Source organism: Homo sapiens, chromosome 5 (assembly GCF_000001405.40).
Source record: "Homo sapiens chromosome 5, GRCh38.p14 Primary Assembly".
Taxonomy (NCBI): Eukaryota; Metazoa; Chordata; class Mammalia; order Primates; family Hominidae; genus Homo; species Homo sapiens.
Window position 1 is genome coordinate 147,545,591 of NC_000005.10, and position 19,693 is coordinate 147,565,283.

At 40.8% G+C, this 19,693-nt stretch overlaps 1 long non-coding RNA gene across 1 annotated transcript in view, besides 2 other annotated features; it reads left to right on the top strand.

The window, feature by feature from the left end:
- Positions 10,232-10,731: an enhancer, noted in NCBI's record as "H3K4me1 hESC enhancer chr5:146935385-146935884 (GRCh37/hg19 assembly coordinates)". NCBI's record gives its function as "activates a minimal SCP1, AML or CMV promoter by ChIP-STARR-seq in primed H9 embryonic stem cells {active_cell/tissue: H9 hESC(primed)}" and the evidence as "EXISTENCE:reporter gene assay evidence [ECO:0000049][PMID:30033119]".
- The window catches only part of JAKMIP2-AS1 (JAKMIP2 antisense RNA 1), a 102,016-nt gene continuing 96,726 nt past the window's right edge, over positions 14,404-19,693 (top strand). The window contains exon 1 of the long non-coding RNA NR_038902.1: positions 14,404-14,547. This is a non-coding gene — a long non-coding RNA (JAKMIP2 antisense RNA 1). The remainder of the gene's footprint in view (positions 14,548-19,693) is intronic.
- Positions 15,203-16,132: an enhancer, noted in NCBI's record as "OCT4-NANOG-H3K27ac hESC enhancer chr5:146940356-146941285 (GRCh37/hg19 assembly coordinates)". NCBI's record gives its function as "activates a minimal SCP1, AML or CMV promoter by ChIP-STARR-seq in primed H9 embryonic stem cells {active_cell/tissue: H9 hESC(primed)}" and the evidence as "EXISTENCE:reporter gene assay evidence [ECO:0000049][PMID:30033119]".

The window sequence follows — 19,693 nt, forward strand, 5'->3', positions numbered from 1 at the left end:
AGCCCCACCTTCATGCTCTTTGCTGAGAAAGCTGCCTGGGTGGGTCAAAGAGAGGTTCATGAGATGGAGTTGACATTTTCTCATAGTACTTAAAAACTATTTTTATTTGGAGCATGCTGGATAACTGGCAAATTCTGTTCCAATTAAACTCCTTTTTCTGTCTTCAAGCAGTTGAAAAATTTGTCAGCCAGTTCATTCCCATTTTCACTTTTAAGCATTGAGTTTCTCAGTTTATGAGTACGCTATAATTTATCTATAGACATTTACTCTTTTTTCATGTTATTAGAGAAAGGAGCAATAAGTAGATGCAAGTAGGGAGTGAAATGTTTTTGTCATTTAGCTAGTGACATTTTCCCCTCACTCAATTTATTGACTATTTATAAAGGTAGAGAAAAACAAGGGATAGTTTGAACTACATGTTGGAAAGAACAAATACACTGCTGAATATTAATACAATATGGACAGGTGTCCCTTCACCTATATGCATTTTTATCTGAGAAATATTTCCCCATATTGAATAGAAAATGGAGAAATCTATAACTGGTACCTTTGTGATGAAGAGAGAACAATCATGTTAGGATTAGAGATTACTCTGCTGATAATTTTTTTTTTTTATTTCAAAGGCAATTAGCTAAGAAGCTAAATATTGGTTAAAGAAAAAAATGAGATTCTGAGTAAGTTATTTATCTGTGACCCACTTTTCTCATTCTTAAAATGGGATTAATAATAATAGCAATAACCCTTCAGGTATTTGGATGATTAAATGAGTTACTGAATATAAAATGCTTAGTACAGTAGTCTGGCACAAAGTTGCCCATTCTATAATGGGAAAAGTGATATCCTGACTGATAAATTCTAATGTTAAATTTAATTCATTCCAGTTGGGTGCAGTGGCTCATGCCTGTAATCCCAGCACTTTGGGAGGCCGAAGTGGGCGGATCATGAGGTCAGGCGATCGAGACCATCCTGGCTAACACAGTGAAACCGTCTCTACTAAAAATAAAAAAAATTAGCTGGGCGTGGTGGCGGGCACCTGTAGTCCCAGCTACTCGGGAGGCTGAGGCAGGAGAATGGCGTAAACCCGGGAGGCAGAGCTTGCAGTGAGCTGAGATTGCGCCGCTGCACTCCAGCCTGGGTGACAGAGCAAGACTCCATCTCAAAAAAAAAAAAAAATTTAATTAATTCCTCACTCCCTTACACACACACGCACACACATATACATGCATATAACACACACTGTCTTACAATGCAGGCATATGAGTGTAGTTTTTATCCTACCAAGTTTCTATCTTTGTATATATACATATGTGCATGTACATATTCATATACTATTTATGCTTTTTTTATTTAGTAAAAATTTAAATGAGATCTAATTAATAATCCTGTTCTGCAACTTGATTTTTCTTCCCACTTAATGTTTCCTGGCCTTTATTCTAAATCTATTATAAAAATCTATTTTTAATGTTTTTCTTAGGATTCTGTTGTGTGAACATGCCATTAACTTAACCAATCCTTTATGAAAAGGTATTTGAATTCTTTTAAATTTTTCACTTTACTTCACAGAATAATAAGCCCTATTAGGATTTTAGAAGCTTCTGAAATACTCAAGAAAATGTAATGAAGCAAGAGCCCACAAATTCTAGTCTTTGTCAAGGTCATTTGTTGTCATTTTAAGGGTATGGAAACTGAGTCTCTGAGACTACCTAACTTGTCTAAGCTGACAAGTACTGAGATAATAATCAAACCCAAGTCCCTTACCTTTTAGTACAATAAGTATTTATGGACCAGGCGTGGTGGCTCATGCCTGTACTCCCAGCACTTTGGGAGGCTGAGGCAGGTGGATCACCTGAGGTCAGCAGTTGAGACCAGCCTGACCAACATGGAGAAACCCCATCTCTACTAAAAATACAAAACTAGCCAGGTGTGGTGGTGCATGCCTGTAATCCCAGCTACTCAGGAGGCTGAGGCAGGAGAGTTGCTTGAACCCGGGAGGTAGAGGTTGCGGTGAGCCGAGATTGCACCATTGCACTCCAGCCTGGGCAACAGGAGCAAAACTCTGTCTCTAAATAAATAAATAAATAAAGTATTTATGGTAGGGTTAGAATTTTGGAAGAGGTACTGGATTTGGAAGAATTCGATTTCAATCCTAAAACTGAAGGCTCAGAGATGATATGTGACTCACCCAGGATTGCACAGTTAAAAAGAGCTAGAATAAGGCTGCCCTTTCTAATCTTGAGCTCTCACAATGAGTTCCAGGATGTTATCTTCTGGGACACCAAAATCAGTATGGAACACTACTACTATCAAGTTGGCTGAGTCCGATGACTCAGGCTGCTGGGAAACTGCTCCATTTTCTCTAGTTTTCCTTTCTGGAAAGTACAACTTAGCCCTGTGACTGATGGTTTCTATTCTCGTTGGCAGCTAAAGAGAAGAGCCGATGGGCAGTATTTGGTGTGTCTGCTGTGACAGTTATCTAAATATATCCTCCTTATTAGTCTGCCAGGTTTTCTGGACTTCACACATTAGCTTAAGTAGCAGAGTTTTTTTTCCTAATATGTGTATTCATAGAGATAGTCATTAGGCCTTTAAAAAATATAGATGCATACCATATTAGTTTTAAGACAGCAGAATGAGAAAGAAATAGGACAGAAGATAGTTAATTTTGTTGGGGAAGAAGAAAGCAATTTGAATTTTTGGACATAATGAGAAAGAATGTTATGGATAGCCAAGATCATTGATTACATGCCTAAGTAGAGGGATTGTCAAAAGGCAAAGGAAAAGAGGTTCTTTTTTCTTCTAATATAATAATTTTTTGAGATACAATTCAAATACAATATGTCACCCATTTAAAGTATACAATTCATTGGTTTTTAGTATATTCGGAGTTGTGCAACATCACTGCTACATGGGAGGAATAATGCAACATCACCACTGTACAAGAGGAAAAATTAATTTTCCTCAACGACTTCCAGGTTCATGGCTGAGGCACCTGTAAGAAAAAGGCAGATCAACAAGAAAAAGGCACACAAATTTATTTAATGTGAGCTTTATGTGATATGAGGAGCTTTGGAAATGATAATCCAAAGAAAAAGGGCACGTGTATGTTTATGGTTAGGTTTGATGAAGAGGGGAGAGTTGTGGAGAAATATAATTAGACAAAGAGGGTGTGATCTAATGATAATAAGCTGGGGGGAACTTAGCAGGGCATGTTTGTTCAAATTCTTCTGTGTTCATGTCTTTCCGTGATAAGGATGTTCCTTTTCTCTACATATAGAAGGGACACCTCTGGAATGAGGGTCTTATGACTTGCTTCAGGGAAGAAGGGCAGGAGAAGGTGAGAGAGTGGCTTTCCTGCTTCTGCTACTTTCTCAAATGCCAAGCTGTCATATTTGAGTGGCAGTATGCCCAGAACCCCATCACCACAATCAATTTCAGAATGTTTTCATTACCCCCAAAGAAACACTATACTCGTTAGAAATCACTTCCTATTTTCCTGCAGCCCTTGCATATGTAGGCAACTACTAATTTACTTTGTTTCTACAGATTTGAAGCCAAAGTTCTTTTTGTTTTGTTTTTCAGTAGAGTCTTGCTCTGTTGTCCAGGCTGGGATGCAGTGGCACAATCTTGGCTCACTGCGACCTCCACCTCTTGGGTTCAAGTGATTCTCCTGTCTCAGCCTCCTTAGTAGCTGGGATTACAGGCGTGCGCCACCGTGCCCAGGTAATTTTTGTATTTTTAGTAGAGACGGGTTTTGCCATGTTGGCCAGGCTGGTCTTGAACTCCTGACCTCAGATGCTCTGCCTGCCTCAGCCTTCCAAAGTGTTGGGATTACAGGCGTAAGCTACCCTTTTTCCTTCCCTTCCTTTTTTCCTTCCCTTCACTTCCTTTTTCCCTTCCCTTCCCTTCCCTTCCTTTATTCCTTCCTTTCCCTTCCTTTCCCTTTTTCCTTCCTTTCCCTTCCCTTTTTCCTTTTCTTCTCTCTCTCTCTGCATTAACTAATTTTAACTGACTACCTTATTGTCAATAGTTGCATGCACATTGCTGTAAATGTTCTGTCTCTATGAGTTGGACTACTCAAGTATCTCATATAACTAAAATCATATAGTATTTGACTTTTTGTGACTGGCTTATTTCCCTTAGCGAAATGTTTTTAAGGTTCATCCATGTAGCATATATCAGAATTTTCTTTCTTTTAAAGACTGAATAATATTCGATTGTATGTATATACCACATTTTACAAATCTATTCATCTGTCATTAGACACTTGTTTTTTGCTAAAGAAGATAATGCTGCTATGAACAAATATTATTTGAAATCCTACTTTTAGTTATTTGCAGTATATACCCAGAAGTGGAATTGCTGGACTATATGGTAATTCTATCTTTAATATTTTGAGGAACCACTGTACTGTTTTCCACGGTTCCAATTTCTCTACATCCTTGCTGATACTTGTTATTTTCTGTTGTTGTTGTTGTTTTTTAATAGCCATCCTAATGGATGTGAAGTGAGATCACATTGTGGTATTGATTCATGTTTCCCTAATGATTAGTAATGTTGCATCTTTCATCTGCTTATTGGCCATTTATACAGCATCTTTGGAGAAATGCCCATTCAAGTTTTTTGCCCATTTTTAATTTGGTTGTTTATTTTTTTATTGTTGAGTTATAAGAGTTCTCTATATATTCTGACTATTAATCCCTTATTAAATATATGATTTTTGAGTATTTTCTCTAATTGCGTGGGTTGCATTTTTACTCTTTTGATATTGTCCTTTGACATTATAAATTTTTCTTTTTTTTATTGAGATGGTGCCCTGCTCTGACACCCAGGCTGGAGTGCAGTGGCACAATCTCAGCTAACTGCAACCTCTGCCTCCTGGGTTCAAGCAATCCTCCTGCCTCAGCCTCCTGAGTAGCTGGGATTACAGGTGCATGCCATCATGCCTGTCTAATTTTTGTATTTTAATAGAGATGGGGTTTCTCCATTTTGGCCAGGCTGGTCTGGAACTCCTGACCTCAGGTGATCCTCCCACCTCGGCCTCCCAAAGTGCTGTGATTACAGGTATGGCCCACTATAGCCAGTCCCTGATATTTTATATTTTGATGTAGTATAATTTGTCTGCTTTTCCTTTTGTTGCTGTGCTTTTGGTGTCATATCCAGGAAAGCATTGCCAAATCCAATGTTATGAAGTTTTACCCATGGGTTTTCTTCTAGGAATTTTATAGTTTGAGCTCATACATTTAGGTTGTGGTCCATTTTAAGTTAATTATTGTATGTGGTGTAAGGCAATGGTCCAATTTCAATCTTTTGAATGTGGATATCCAGTTTTGCCAACATTATTTGTTGAAAGCAAAAGAGATTCTTAAAGAAAAATTTGATGTCTTATTTTGAGTTCCATTGAAGCAGAGCCTGAGACAACTTATTTACAGATAGTTTATTTGGGAGGTGATCTCAAAAATAGGATGAGAAAAGAATGAGAAAGAGAACAGCATGCAAAAGGATAAAATTTCAGGAAGGTCCATTATGAAGGTCACTGCCACAGGTGACAGGGGCTTAGTTCTGCCAGAATATTTGAGGACTCTCTAGAATGTGTCTCAAATTGGCCCAGCTAAAGACCAGAAAAATGAGGCACTTATGTCCAGTTTCTGTCTCCACTGGTTGACCATTACCCTTGTAGAGTGCTAGCTCTCTGGCACCTCTGAAGGGTATGTGTGTGTGGCGGGAGCGGTGTGGGAGCGTGGAGTGGTCTGCTGTTACTCCAAAGAAGGTTCTTATTTCTGGTACCCACCTGGAGATCCTGTTGATGTGGTTTGGATTTATGTCCCCGCCTAAATCTCATACTGAATTGCAATCTTCAATATTGGAAGAGGGGCCTGGTGGGAGGTGATTGGATCATGGGGGCAGATCTCCCCTTGCTGTTCTTAAGATAGTGAGTGAGTTCTCATGAGATCTGGTTGTTTAAAAGTGTGTAGCACCTCTCCCTTTGCCCTCTTCCTTCTGCTCTGTTCATGTAAGACAAACCTACTTCCCCTTCACCTACTGCCGTGATTGTAAATTTCCTGAGGCCTCCCCAGCCAAGCTTCCTGTGCAGCCTGCACAACTGTGAGCCAATTAAACCTCTTTTCTTTGTAAATTACCCAGGTAGTTCTTCATAGCAATGCAAGAGTAGACTATTACACCCAGCAATGATGCTTCATCTCACAAAGAATTGTTCTCGATAGCTTACACATGAGATGGCAGCCAAGGACTGTGATGTGAACCACTGAAAAGATATGCTATAATTAGTAACCAAGAAATAAACTTCCTGTGCTTCAACATTAAGTAGAGGGACAGCTCTAGGGCCAGGCCTGTGCCTGTGAGCTATTGTAGGGTAAGAAGCAAAACAGTGATATTTGTTAGTTGAGCACCTCTGATATATAAAGATATAGGTAGTAGGTTATAAAATGGGTCACACATTGCTTAAGAAGTTATAGTTTAATAGAGAAGGTATGGCAGCTGTGCACATCAGTCCTCTAAAAGAAATGATCATCGCTGTGCAGGAGATTTGCACGGGAGAGGCACTTTCTAGTAATGGGTGATAAAGGCTTCACCAGAGAGGTCATATACAGACTGGGTCTTGAAAAATGGGATTTATTTATTGATTCATTTATATATATATATATATTGAGACCGAGTCTCACTCTGTCGCCCAGGCTGGAGTGCAGTGACGCGATCTCAGCTCACCGCAACCTCCACCTCCCGGGTTCACGCCATTCTCCTGCCTCAGCCTCCTGAGTAGCTGGGACTACAGGTGCATGCCGCCACGCCCGGCTAATTTTTTGTATTTTTAGTAGAGACGGGGTTTCACCGTGTTAGCCAGGATGGTCTCGATCTCCTGACCTCATGATCCGCCCGCCTCGGCCTCCCAATCAAAAAATATTTTGATTGATTTCCATTTGTGCCAAGCCTTTGTGTGGTGAGCCAATCAGAAATGGTTACTGCCCTCCTTATACTGTAATGGAGACACTCAGACAATGAAGTTATCAAATAAATAAGCAAGATAACAAGGAAACATAATAGAACAATTTGATAGCATGCTGAGGTGGGATGGGGTAAGGGAACTACAGATGGAGTGGTCAATAAATTCTCTAAAACATTTAGAGAAAACATTTGAGCTGAGGCCTGAATGGCAATGAGAAGGCATCAACCCCATAAAATCAGAGGAAACTGTTCCAGGAAGCGTAAGAGAAAATGCAAAGGCCAGAAGCAGGGAAGGGCTGTACACGTTTAAGGAATGGAAAGAAGGCCAGTGATTCTGGAGGGTAAGAGCCAGAGGTGAGAGAAGGGATACAAAATGAGGTAAGATAAATGAACACAGGCCAGGCCACTTAGGACCTGATAGGCATTATAAGGTCTTTGGACTTCATCTATGTGCCAGGAAAGTCACTGAAGAGTTTTAAACAGGGGAGTGACCTAATACGATTTATGTTTTTAAAAGATCATTCTGACTTCTGTGTCAAAAAACAGACCATGCAAGACAACAGTGTAAGCACCAAGCCCAGTTCAGAGACTCTCGGAGATGTTATCTAGATTGGCCCTGGGGATGGCTTGATCCAGGCTGGCGGCAGTAGAGGCCAGATTGGGATTCCGTGTTGCAGATGGACTTGAAGTTTGCTTTGGTTATTGCTTTCCTTATAAGACTCTTTCTCATCTAACATTAACATCCTTTTTCTTTCTTTTTTTTTTTTTTACGCAGAGTCTCACTCTGTCCCCCAGGCTGGAGTGCAGTGGCACAATATTGGCTCACTGTGAACTCCGTCTCCTGGGCTGAAGCGATTCTCATGCCTCAGCCTCCCGAGTAGCTGGGATTACAGGTGCCCACCACCACACCTGGCTAATTTTTGTATTTTTAGTAGAGACGAGGTTTCACCATGTCGGTCAGGCTGGTCCCAAACTCCTGACCTCAAATGATCCACCCGCCTTGGCCTCCCAAAGTGCTGGGATTACAGGCATGAGCCACTGCACGCCCCGTCCAACACCCTTTTTTACTATCATAGCTGGGAGCATGGACAGGGGTGTTAATGTCAGATGAGAAAGTGTCTTATAAGGAAAATAAGCCTTTTTCTCCTTGAATGAAGCTTAAGGTGTCATTGACAATGGCGTAGAACTGGCTTTGAAAGAGATCAAGTGAGGCCAGGCATGGTGGCTCATGCCTGTAATCCCAGCACTTTGGGAGGCCAATGTGGGCAGATCACTTGAGGTCAGGAGTTCGAGACCAGCCTGGCCAATATGGCAAAACCTCGTCTTTACTAAAAATACAAAAATTAGCTGGGCATGGTGGCAGGTGACTGCAGTCCCAGCTGCTCAGGAGGCTGAAGCAAGAGAATTGCTTGAACCCAGGAGGTGGAGGGTGCAGTGAGCCAAGATTGCGCCACTGCACTCCAGTCTGGGCGACAGAGCAAGCAAGACTCTGCCTCAAAAAGAAAACAAAGAAAGAAAAGAAAGCGATCAAGTGAACTCTGAATACTGTGCAAAGGAAACAGACTTAATTCTGTAGATGACAGTGAGTAGTTGAAGATTTTTTTAAACAAAGGAGTAACAGAAACCAAATTCAAAATGGATCAAAATCTAAATGTAAAAGCTCAAACGTCATCACCGGGCTAAAAAAGCACATAGATTTAGGAAGGAGAACAATAACAGTGTGTGTGTGTCTTTAAGCAGAGAGAGTGAGAATAATTTAGACAGCAAAGCCAACAGACTTGTTCTTCAGAAGTTCATTTATTTCTCTGTTTATTGACGTTGCTATGGGGATGCTAAAAGCTAGCCAGGAGGACAGAGAACAGTCGACTGTCTCTGCACTTAATAATCTGATTTTATGTAAGACATCGAGAAAGAATGCAATAACTCAGGCTCTTTGCTTCGAGCATTAAAAGAAACCAGATGAGGCTGAGCTCACATTCTTCTCAGCCATACCAGTCCCCTCCTTAGGTACAGGATTTCAGGCCCAGCTGTCCTGGCACTACCCAGCCTGACATTTGGAGGAACTCACCCTGCATTTTCCTCCTCTTTCCCTTTTACTCCCTCAAACCAGAATATTGCAAACAGCCCGCAAAGTGAAATAAAACCCCAAGGAAATGGAAAAGGAATTCTGCCTATAAAAGGGGCTTTGCAAAGGGAAGCTAGTTCCATTGGTGGACAGAAACTACTCCCTCCCGGAGTATTAGTTGATATGGCCTGGAGCGTGGGTCTTGGAGAAGCTGCAGATTTTTATTTAGATTTGGATTTTTCCACTTTCTTTCAGGAAGTCAGTGTTTGGAAACTGGTGGTCAAGGTATTTTTTTCCCTAATGAGAAACATATTATTTGTGTTTGTTGTTTAGGATAAAACCATTGAAATTTTCACTTTTCTCAGTGTCAGAGTAAGATTGTGGAGTCTAACTGGATTTTTTGATGTGATGAGTGAAAAACAAAAAGAGATCTTTCATTATTCTGGATTCTAAGCCCTGGAATCCTCGATTTTTAATAATATCCTTACTCTTTCCATAAATTTTGAACCTCTTCTATGCGCTGGACACTGTAATAGGTGCTAAGAATATAGTGATGAGTACATGGCCGCTTCCCTAACTACCACAAAAGAGTGCTAATAATGATGGCTAGTATTTAAAAATCTTTGCTACATACAAGTAATTGCGGTTAAATCTGTTACATGCATTGCCTCGCTTAAAACCTCTGGCAATTGGTGAAAGTTAGCATTATCCTAATCTTATAGATGAGGAAGTTGAGGTTTCACTGTCTGGCATGGAGATTGACAGATTATTATGGTATTAGGAGTGGTGTGATTTGAGGAACAAGAAGAGAAGCCACTGACATTCTGAAATAGCCGAGCCTGAATAGTGTGTTCTTTGGGGCTAAGAGTGAGATAAGAAATAAACCACCGGGCACAGTGGCTCACGCCTGTAATCCTAACACTTTGGGAGGCCCAGGTGGGCGGATCACCTGAGGTCAGGAGTTTGAGACCATTTTGGCCAACATGGTGAAACCCTGTCTCTACTAATAATACAAAAATTAGCTAGGCGTGGAGGTGCAAGCCTGTAATCCCAGCTACTCAGGAGGCTGAGGCAGGAGAACTGCTTGAACCGGGAGGCGGAGGTTGCAGTGTGCCGAGATCGCGCCTCCAGCATTGAGACTCCATCTCAAAAACAAAAAAACAAAAAACAAAACAAAAAAACAAACACAAAAAGGCCGGGTACGGTGGCTCACACCTATAATCCCAGCACTTTGGGAAGCCGAGGCGGGCGGATCACCTGAGGTCAGGAATTCGAGACCAGCCTGGCCAACATGGCGAAACGCTGTCTCTACCAATAATACAAAAATTAGCCGGGCGTGGTGGTGCACGCCCCTAATCCCAGCTACTCGGGAGGCTGAGGCAAGAGAATCTTTTGAACCTGGAAAGCAGAGGTTGCAGTGAGCCAAGATTGTGCCACTGCACTCCAGCCTGAGTGACAGAGCAAGACTCCGTCTCAAAACAAAAAACAAAAAGAAAAAAACAAAAAACAAAAAAAACCAATTAAACCACCATTAGTCCTTAATATCTTTGGCCAAATATCTCTCTAAAATTATTCCCAGCATGGCAGGTAGCAGAGAACCATTCTCTTTAGGAATTAAGCAACCCTCCCTCAGTTTTCCAGTGTGGGCTTTGCTTTATGTACAGCCCTCACTCAACAATTGCCAAGGGATTTTGCAATGGCTGAGTCTTATTTTACCACTTCTCTACTGTTTCCATGATTACATTCACTTAGGGCTCATTAGGGTATTGCCAAGGTCCTTGCTGATATTGATTTACTTTATATGATATGCATAAAGTTTTCTTTTCCTCAAACATTAGAAGATTTCAAGGATTTTGCAAAGTAAGTTTAATTCAACTTTGTAGCCTTGACAACCATAATTTTAGAAAATAAGAGCTCCCTTCCCCCAATCTGACCTCTTAAAATCACCTTATCCACAGCACATGCTAAAACTGGGTTCTGAATCAACTCTCTCTCTCTCTCTCTCTCTCTATATATATATATATATATACACACACACACACACACACACACATACATATATATACACTTGTATATATATACACAACACTATATATGTGTATATATATACACACGTATATATAAACACAACACTATATATATGTATATATATACACACTTAAAATCTGAAAAAACATTCTAAGAATCAAAGACTAATAAATTTATTCAAATATAGTCCAGAGTATTTTTAAAGATAAACTAAGCAAATACATTCACATTTCATCCACTCTGGGTTAATTTTCCAATAGTAAGGAAAAATACTACTCATCATAATGAAACTTCTACTTCACCATCCTCTGTTACAATCTAGCACGAAGGGACTTTTTTTTTTTTTTTTGCCCAGACTGGAGTGCAATGGCACGATCTCGGCTCACTGCAACCTCTGCCTCCCAGGTTCAAGCAATTCTCCTGCCTCAGCCTCCCAAGTAGCTGGGATTACAGGCGAGTGCCACCATGACCGGCTTTTGTATTTTTAGTAGAGACAGAGTTTCTCCATGTTGGTCAGACTGGTCTCAAATTCCCGACCTCAGGTGATCTGCTCCCCTCAGCCTCCCAAAGTGCTGGGATTACAGGCGTGAGCCACCATGCACAGCCCATGAAGGGCCTTAAGATTAGCATCTTGAAAAATACATGCATGGCAAGAAGCAAAATGCCCAGTTTTAACAAGAGTTGAAAGGAATATATTGACAATTTTAAGATGCTCATTTTAGAGTTCTTTCTTGCCTAAGTTCAAGAGCAAGACATTGGGAAGTTACTGAGCAGTTTGCATAACACCAGCTGCAGGAGACACTTGTTGAAGTCCTGGGTGGTGTCCACTGGCTTAGTGAAGAACAAATTATGGCAAAGTGGCTTCCTTCAGTGGTATTATTAAGTCTCAACTTCAATATTGTATCTCTTTCTTATTGACTAACACTTTAGAATGGGCTATGTCCCCTAGTATATCTACATTCTCAGCCTATAACTTCGATTCGTAGCATTTGTCACAAATTTAATTTAAGCAAATATTTGTGTAATAATTTGTATGATGAACTCCTTTGTCATTAGAACATAAGGTCCATGAGTTGATTTTTTTTTTTCACTTTTGGAAGAAATACAAATGTTTAGCTCAATGCTAAACATATATGAGGATCTCACTTAGTTTTTGTTGAATGAATCAAAGGAAGGGAAAATAATTTACCTGAAATGATGAACAAAAACAATAAAAAGTTTGATTTCATTAGAAGTGAACCTAGTTGTTTCCAAAATTTGTAGATTAAAAAACGGCCCTTTTAATTACTGCTTATTGAAAAATTATGCAATGAGTTACAAGCCCCCATGAATTCTGTCGTGCCTTTCTAAGACCTTGCATTTTGTTGTAAGTCCATTTACATATACTTGGAAAATAATAGGGAGTTTCTGTATGTGACACATGATTTATTCCACCTGCAGGCAATGCCGCAGACAAGCACACACACTTGGTGTTCTGTTCCACCGTTCTTTGGATACCAGATGACTGTCACTGTAGTTTGGAAACTACTAAGCTAATACCCCAAATTGCACCCTATTCTAACATTCTGAGGTTTATTCAGTGTTTGGCAACAAGGTGAATAAGAAAACCTGACATTTAATAATTAGCACAAAACAACTGTAAAATCTCAAGCATGCCTTTTAGCCGTCAGCGTTGCGTAATAAGTTGGTAGTGCTATTCTTCTGGGGCTTCTTTAAGATAACATAGGTATCTGGCAAGGAAGTGTCTACCTCTGTCTTCTCCTGTTCTCTAATCTCTTAATTGTTACTTCCCAACAGATGCCAATGGGCCAGAGAGCCTGTATGACACAATCCAAAAACATCAGCATCTCAAGGCACAGACTAACTCAGAGAAGGGGTTAGAATGGATCCAGAGGGAAAATGTTGAGCAACCAGCACAGCAAAGAAGCTTATCTTTGCACACTTCACAGTTTTTAAAGCACTCAGAAAATCTTCAAGGCTGCAGATTGAGAAAGTGACAATGGATGAAATAGAGGAGCAGAACAGTTAAGTGACTTGCCCAAGGTTTAACAGATAGTAGGAGGTATTAATAGAAGCGGACCTTAGCAATCTGAACCTTGTGTCTAATGTCTTTGTTGTGTATATCCTTCCCACCTTTGCCCTCCCTCCCCAAACACAAGAATGTTCTTGTAGATGGAAATCTTTTGGTGCTATGGCTGAGCAATGTGGGTGGTTTGTGTTCTGTTTCTTTTCTGTTTATTTGGGGATTTTGCCTCTGTTTATAAAATATTATCTCTCGGTGTCTATAGTATTTTGCTGTTGTTGTTAAAGTGCCCAGAATCTCTCAGACCTTGGTGTAGCTGAGTTGTGGCCAATATGATGCCTGATTATTCACACTGTGGGGGAAAAAGAGTAGGCTTTTGTAAACTTATGGAGGACTGCCCCCTGGGGGCCAGAAGAATGAACCCCTCCCTGGACATGAGTAGAGTAGGTGCAGGAGGCTGATAAACACGGTGAACCCTATGTGCCCATTAATATCCAAGAAAACCTCAGTAGTGGCATTCTATTGGGATCACTCATGCCAATTCCCAGATTTCTCATGCATTACTTTTCTCACCCCTTAGCAAGCCAAATTTAGTAAAGATTACTGTAGAAAACCTAACTTTTCAAAATTAACAGGTGTTTCTAAAAGAAAACTAGAACAATGAAAAAAAAAGTAAGGAGACAAGATTGCCTATCATCGCATCACCAGAGACAACATTTTCTCCTAAATCTTTCTAGCCTTTATTTTCTGCATGGATATATATACCTATTATATATATAATTTATTGTAACACTTTGGGAAGCTGAGGCAGGTGGATCACTTGGGTCTAGGAATTTGAGACTAACTCGGGCAACATGGCAAAACCTGGTCTCTAAAAAAATACAAAAATTAGCCGGGCATGGTGGTGCACATCTGTGGTCCCAGCTACCCGGGAGGCTGAGGTAAGAGGATTGATTGAGCCTTGAAGGTTGAGGCTGCAGTGAGCCATGATTGTGCCACTGCACTCCAGCCTGGGTGACAGAATGAGATCCCGTCTCAAAAATATATATTTTAAAATAGAATTATTCTGTACCCTCTGTTCTCTGGCTTGCTTTGTATCCTCTATAGTGTCTTAATGGCATAGATTTTTTTCAAGTTCACACAGAGCTTTTCTCAGCTATTTCATAGCCAGAATAAAGCTGTGGCTAGAGAGGAATGCCCTCTAGCTGGAGAAGGCAGTATGATGGAATGCCAGCTTCCCAAACCAAAACGTGCTTATGAACCACCTGGGGGCCTGCTTAACATGCAGATTCTGATTCAGGAGGTCTGGGGTAGGACTTAGGATGCTGTATTCCTACTGTGCTCTCTGAGGATGTGGATGCTGTTGATCTGCGGACCACACTTTGAGAAATACACAGGTGACAGCTGTGGTGGAAAGAACTCCCATCCAGGAATCAAAACATGTCTTCACATTTTGGCCATGGAACTTGGGGTAAGTTTCTAAACCTCTTAATCTTTGTTCTTTTACATATAGAAAAAGAAATCATAAACATCTGAACATGCTAAGCTCAAAATATGGGTTTATTAAAGTATAGCTGAACTGAAATCCAGTCATGATAGAAAGACTAGTTGAGGAAAGAATAATTCTATCTCATATCCCCTATTCTCCCCTGTCACTCCAGCAGAAGAAAAAATCTGCCATCAGAACAGGAAAGAAAGCTCACTAAATAGCTTATTTGCTAAAGAAGTCCAAGGTACTGAATTTAGACAGGTAAATTGATCTATTTTGCCTTTTCAAAGCATTAAATAAAAAAAGAACTATAACCCTAATGGACGGGATCCCCTAGCTGTCTCTGCCCACCCTACAGCAGCTTGAAGGCTGATTCGTTTCTTTTACAAATACATGAACATCTCAAATATATGTCCAAACTTCGAGAAATCTACTTTTCTTATTTCTGTTCTTTTTCTATTTTTTTTTTCTGTCTAAGCGCCAGACACACACTGTCTCTCTCTCTCCCAATCCTCCTTTCCATTGCCTCCCCATCTTGCTGGTTTCAACTTCTTTTCCCTCCTAGACACAGTATTCCCCTCTGGATCCCTCCACATTCCTTCCCTTTCTAAATTCTTGGCTTCTCTAATTCATGTGTTCACATACATTTCCCTACTCAACACAAAGGCTCCTTTCCAGGAGTCTGGTGGGACCTTGCTTTTTCCTTGACATATTATTATTATTTGATTTTTTAAAAAACTGTGATTCAAAAGCAGAAGAGCATAAAAATTAGACTTGCGTGTTTCTCTTTTCAGCTAGGGAAGTTGCCAGCTACATCATCTTGTAATTCCCAACTCCTTTTCTTACAAGGGCAGACTCTTAATCACTCAGCTTGGCTTCTCTTTCAAAGGTAGGAACAGAGGGAACCATGAGAGAAAGGACTGATAGAAAGGACTCGCCCACTGCCTGAGGAGCCACCTGAGACAAGGATAGTCAGTCTAGTTCTGTGAGGGGGAGTAGATGCTGGGCTGAGCCAGTATGATGCTTCCTTGTGTTCCAGGAAGTTCTTTGTATAAAAACTGAAAGAACTGCTTTTTAAGGGCTGTTTGATTCTGGACTCCTGTGATTAAGTTCTGAAGGCCTCACACTGAGACCAAAATTCCCCAATTATATTCTCTTGAAGAATCACCCTGGGTGGGCTCAGCTTGGGGGTAGAGAGTTGTAACTAGGCAAAAAAAAAAAAAAGAAAGAAAGAAAGAAAGAAAGAAAGAAAGAAAGAAAGAAAGAAAGAAAGAAAGAAAGAAAGAAAGAAAGTGAACTAATATAGTTTAATTTATTGCCCACATCAGGCCAAGATAAAATTTCTGAGATTTACATGTCCAGATATTTAATGAGCAAATGCTTTCCTTTACTGAGATTTTTTGGTAGTTGTATGTAATTCACTTTGTTGCAATTTCCTTGTTTATTCCCATGGAGCCTAACATAGTCTCCAGCTTCTTAGGGTAAGGGCAGCAAATCCTTCTCTGCATACCCACAGCAATAGAGTAGGGGAGAGGATGGAGAGTTTCTTTGTTGTGATCTAGTCACCTTTCTCTCAGATTCCTGATTTTATGTAATAATTGTGTATGCGTGCGTGTGTGTGTGTGTGTGTGTGTGTGTGTGTGTTGGAGACATATGGTTTAGTGTTAATTTAAATTAATATGAGATTACCCAAATACTTTTTAGAATAATTTGAGTATACTTTATTTATTTTTATTTTTTAAGACGGAGTCTTGCTTTGTTGCCCACGCTGGAGTGCAGTGGTGCGATCTCGGCTCACTGCAACCTCCACCTCCAGGGTTCAAGAGATTCTCCTGCTTCAGGCTCCCCAGTGGCTGAGATTACAGGCATGCGCCAACACACCTGGCTAATTTTTTTTGTATTTTTAGTAGAGACAGGGTTTCACCATGTTGGTCAGGCTGGTCTCGAACTTCTCACCTCAAATGATCTGCCCACCTTGGCTTCCCAAAGTGCTGGGATTACAGGCGTGAACCACACTGTACCTGGATGTTACTTTTGTTTTGAGACAGGATCTTGCTGTGTCACCCAGGCTGGAGTGCAGTGGCATAGTCTCGGCTCACTTCAGCCTGTACCCCCCAGTTCCAAGTGATCCTCTCACCTCAGCCTCCTGAGTAGCTGGGACTACCGGCATGTGTCACCATACTCAGCTAATTTTTTAAAAGAATTTTTTGTAGAAACAGGGTCTTACTGTAATACCCAAGCTGTGCTTCTGATATAAATTGTAAGTAGAGTCCACTTATACAGCAGGGAGTATAATGCAAGAGTGAGAAGAAAATGGACTAATGGGAGAAAGCTAGCCCAGAAGACATGTTGGTATATTTTGGAAAATAACGAGTTAATTTTGAACCAGATTAAGGAGTTTGGGTTTAAAGAAAATAAAGTTCTGGGTGAAATTGATGGAGATTACAAGACATTTCATGAATGGTGAGGACAATATTCTGCAGTCATCTGGATAATAATCCATATATAGTTAGAAGTTCTTACCATCTTGGAACGAAGCTTCTCACCCCCCGAGTCATACTTTGCATTTATAAAGTAGCTTCCACTTATCAAGCACTTGCTATGTAGGAAGTACTGTTTCTCAGGGGTGCAGGGTTCCAATCAGTGAGCAGGTTTATTCCCACCATCTGGTAACTCCTCTTGGTTACACAGAGAATTGAATGAAAGGAAATTCAATTGGCAACACTGCAGACATAGGCTTTGCTAGTTGGACAATAGCACTCCTGCCTGGAGAAGTGTGGACCTCAGTAACCAGTCTCCATCTACAGGAACAATATTCGGTGACCATTGTTTACTGGGCAGTTCCGAGTTTTCTTTTTCTTTTTCTCTTTTTTGAGACAGGGTTTCACTCTGTTGCCCAGACTGGAGTGCAGTGGTATGATCATGGCTCACTGCAGCCTCAAGCTCCTAGGCTCAAGTGATCCTCCCACCTCAGCCTCCCAAGTAGTTGAGATCACAGGTATATGTCCTCATGCCTGCTTAATTTATTTTATTTTATTTTATGTAGAGATGGGGTCTCCTGATGTTGCCCAGCCTGGACTCAAACTCCTCGGCTCAAGTGATCCTCCCACTCGGGCCTCCCAAAGTGCTGAGATTACAGGCAAGAGCCATCATGCCTGGCCTAGTTCTGAGTTTTCTCTGCCAAGTTCTTTCTGCTGGAGGCCAGGGAAGTATGTATATGCCTCTATAAGTTAGAATATCAGGCTTCCAGGTGCACCAGGGATAGTTGTCATGTTTGATACATGGTCGGTAGCAACTACTATACTGGATTTTAAGCACTACATGCTCCTGGATTTTTTGTTTTTGTTTTTTAGTGTGGCATATGGCTAAAGCAGGGAGGAGGAGAGTTTAGGGCTCTTGGATGGGAGCGGAGATGAGAAGAGTTAATGCATCATCCATGGCTTGATAGTGAAGATTCTGGCTTCCAAAGATGAGCAAAGTTTTTCCACTTCCACAGCCCTTAGGCAGAGTAAGTCATTTAATCTTCATAAAACTTGTGGCTGTATTTTCTCCACTTTTTCAGCTGAGAAAAACAAGTCTCAGAGAAGTAATAACAACTTGATCAAGGGCACATAATGTGAGCAAAGAAGAGCTAGGCCTCAAACCTCAATCAAATAACAGCAGAAGTCCTGTTCCTTATTCCTGCACACTTCTGCCTTTCCAAAATACATCACTCACCTCCACTCCCAACTAGGGAGAGTAACAGGATGGGAATAACACTGTTCTGCCATTCTGATAATTACTCCTATGTGGTTAGCAGTACTCTCCATCCCACTTTTCAAAATGTATTTATTTATTGGAGATGAGGGGAAGGTTCTGTTTGTCTGCCAACTTTTTGTTCTCCAAAATTGATAGATCTTGGGATTTCAGTTCAAACTTCAGAGTGGGGAAATCTGAGCCCAGTGAACCATGCCATGGCCATATCAGGGTGGGTTTTTTTTCTTTCTTTCTTTTTTCCCCCCTTAGCCAAGCTGAGGCTGAATGACCAGGCTCTTGGCAACCTCATCGTATCTATTATGTTCTGATCATTATTTAAACAAATGGTATTCACTGGGGTCCAAGTCAGAGGAACAGGACACAGAGAAGGCTTTCTATCAGTCAGCTGGACTGCTCTTCCCCTTTCACAGGTCTTTTGTGCTTCGTGAGGATCCTTCAAGTGTGGAACAGCTCACAAAGGAAAAGATGGACACAGCCTTTGTCTGGGAAGGGACATTCAGTCAGCCCCCTTTCCCCGTGGAGATGTCTTGATCCTTTTGGGTATTTTTTTTGTCTCTATTCAAATCAAAAAGTGCTAATAAAATACCCAACACAGTGTTAAGGCACTATGGCAGGAGGAGTAGAGTGATATGCAGGTTTTATGCATGCCCAAGTATGATAAAGTATCAAGAAGGGACAGGCAAGGGTGGGCTTTAGGACATGCACAGCTGAGAAGGAATAGTTGTGGAAAGATGCTGGCTCTGCAGACAGTGTGCCTCGGTTCCAGTGATTATTCAAGTGATCTTGAAAAACACCTTAACCTAGCAAGACTTAGATCTTTTATCTGCAAGTGGAGATAGTCATCATAGTTATTTTACAGCTTTGACTTGTGGATTAAATGAAAGATTGCATGCATTGTGCTTATTGGCAAATTTTTGAGTTTTTATTAAATTTTCACTCGTATAATTATAGTTGAGAGTGGATTTATAGAGGGAGGTCGCTTTGGGTCTTGAAAAGGAGAAAAATTACAGAATGTGTTAGACCCAACTCCAGGGAGTCATGGTTTTGGAAAATAAAAAAATACATCTACAATTTACCTTTTTCACTTTAGGGTACAAAGTTAGTAAAAAAAAAATAAAAAAAAAACCAAAAAACATATTTGCCAATCTGAATTTGCCAATCTGAAATGTCTCAAGTAAGCTATCCTTGTTAGCACATTGAGGCTTGAACATAATTTCCCAAACCACAGATCCACAGGCAATAGTCTAGGAATTTTTTTTTTTTTGAGATGGAGTCTCGTTCTGTCCCCCAGGCTGGAGTGCAGTGGCGCGATCTCGGCTCACTGCAAGCTCTGCCTCCCAGGTTCACGCCATTCTCCTGCCTCAGCCTCCCA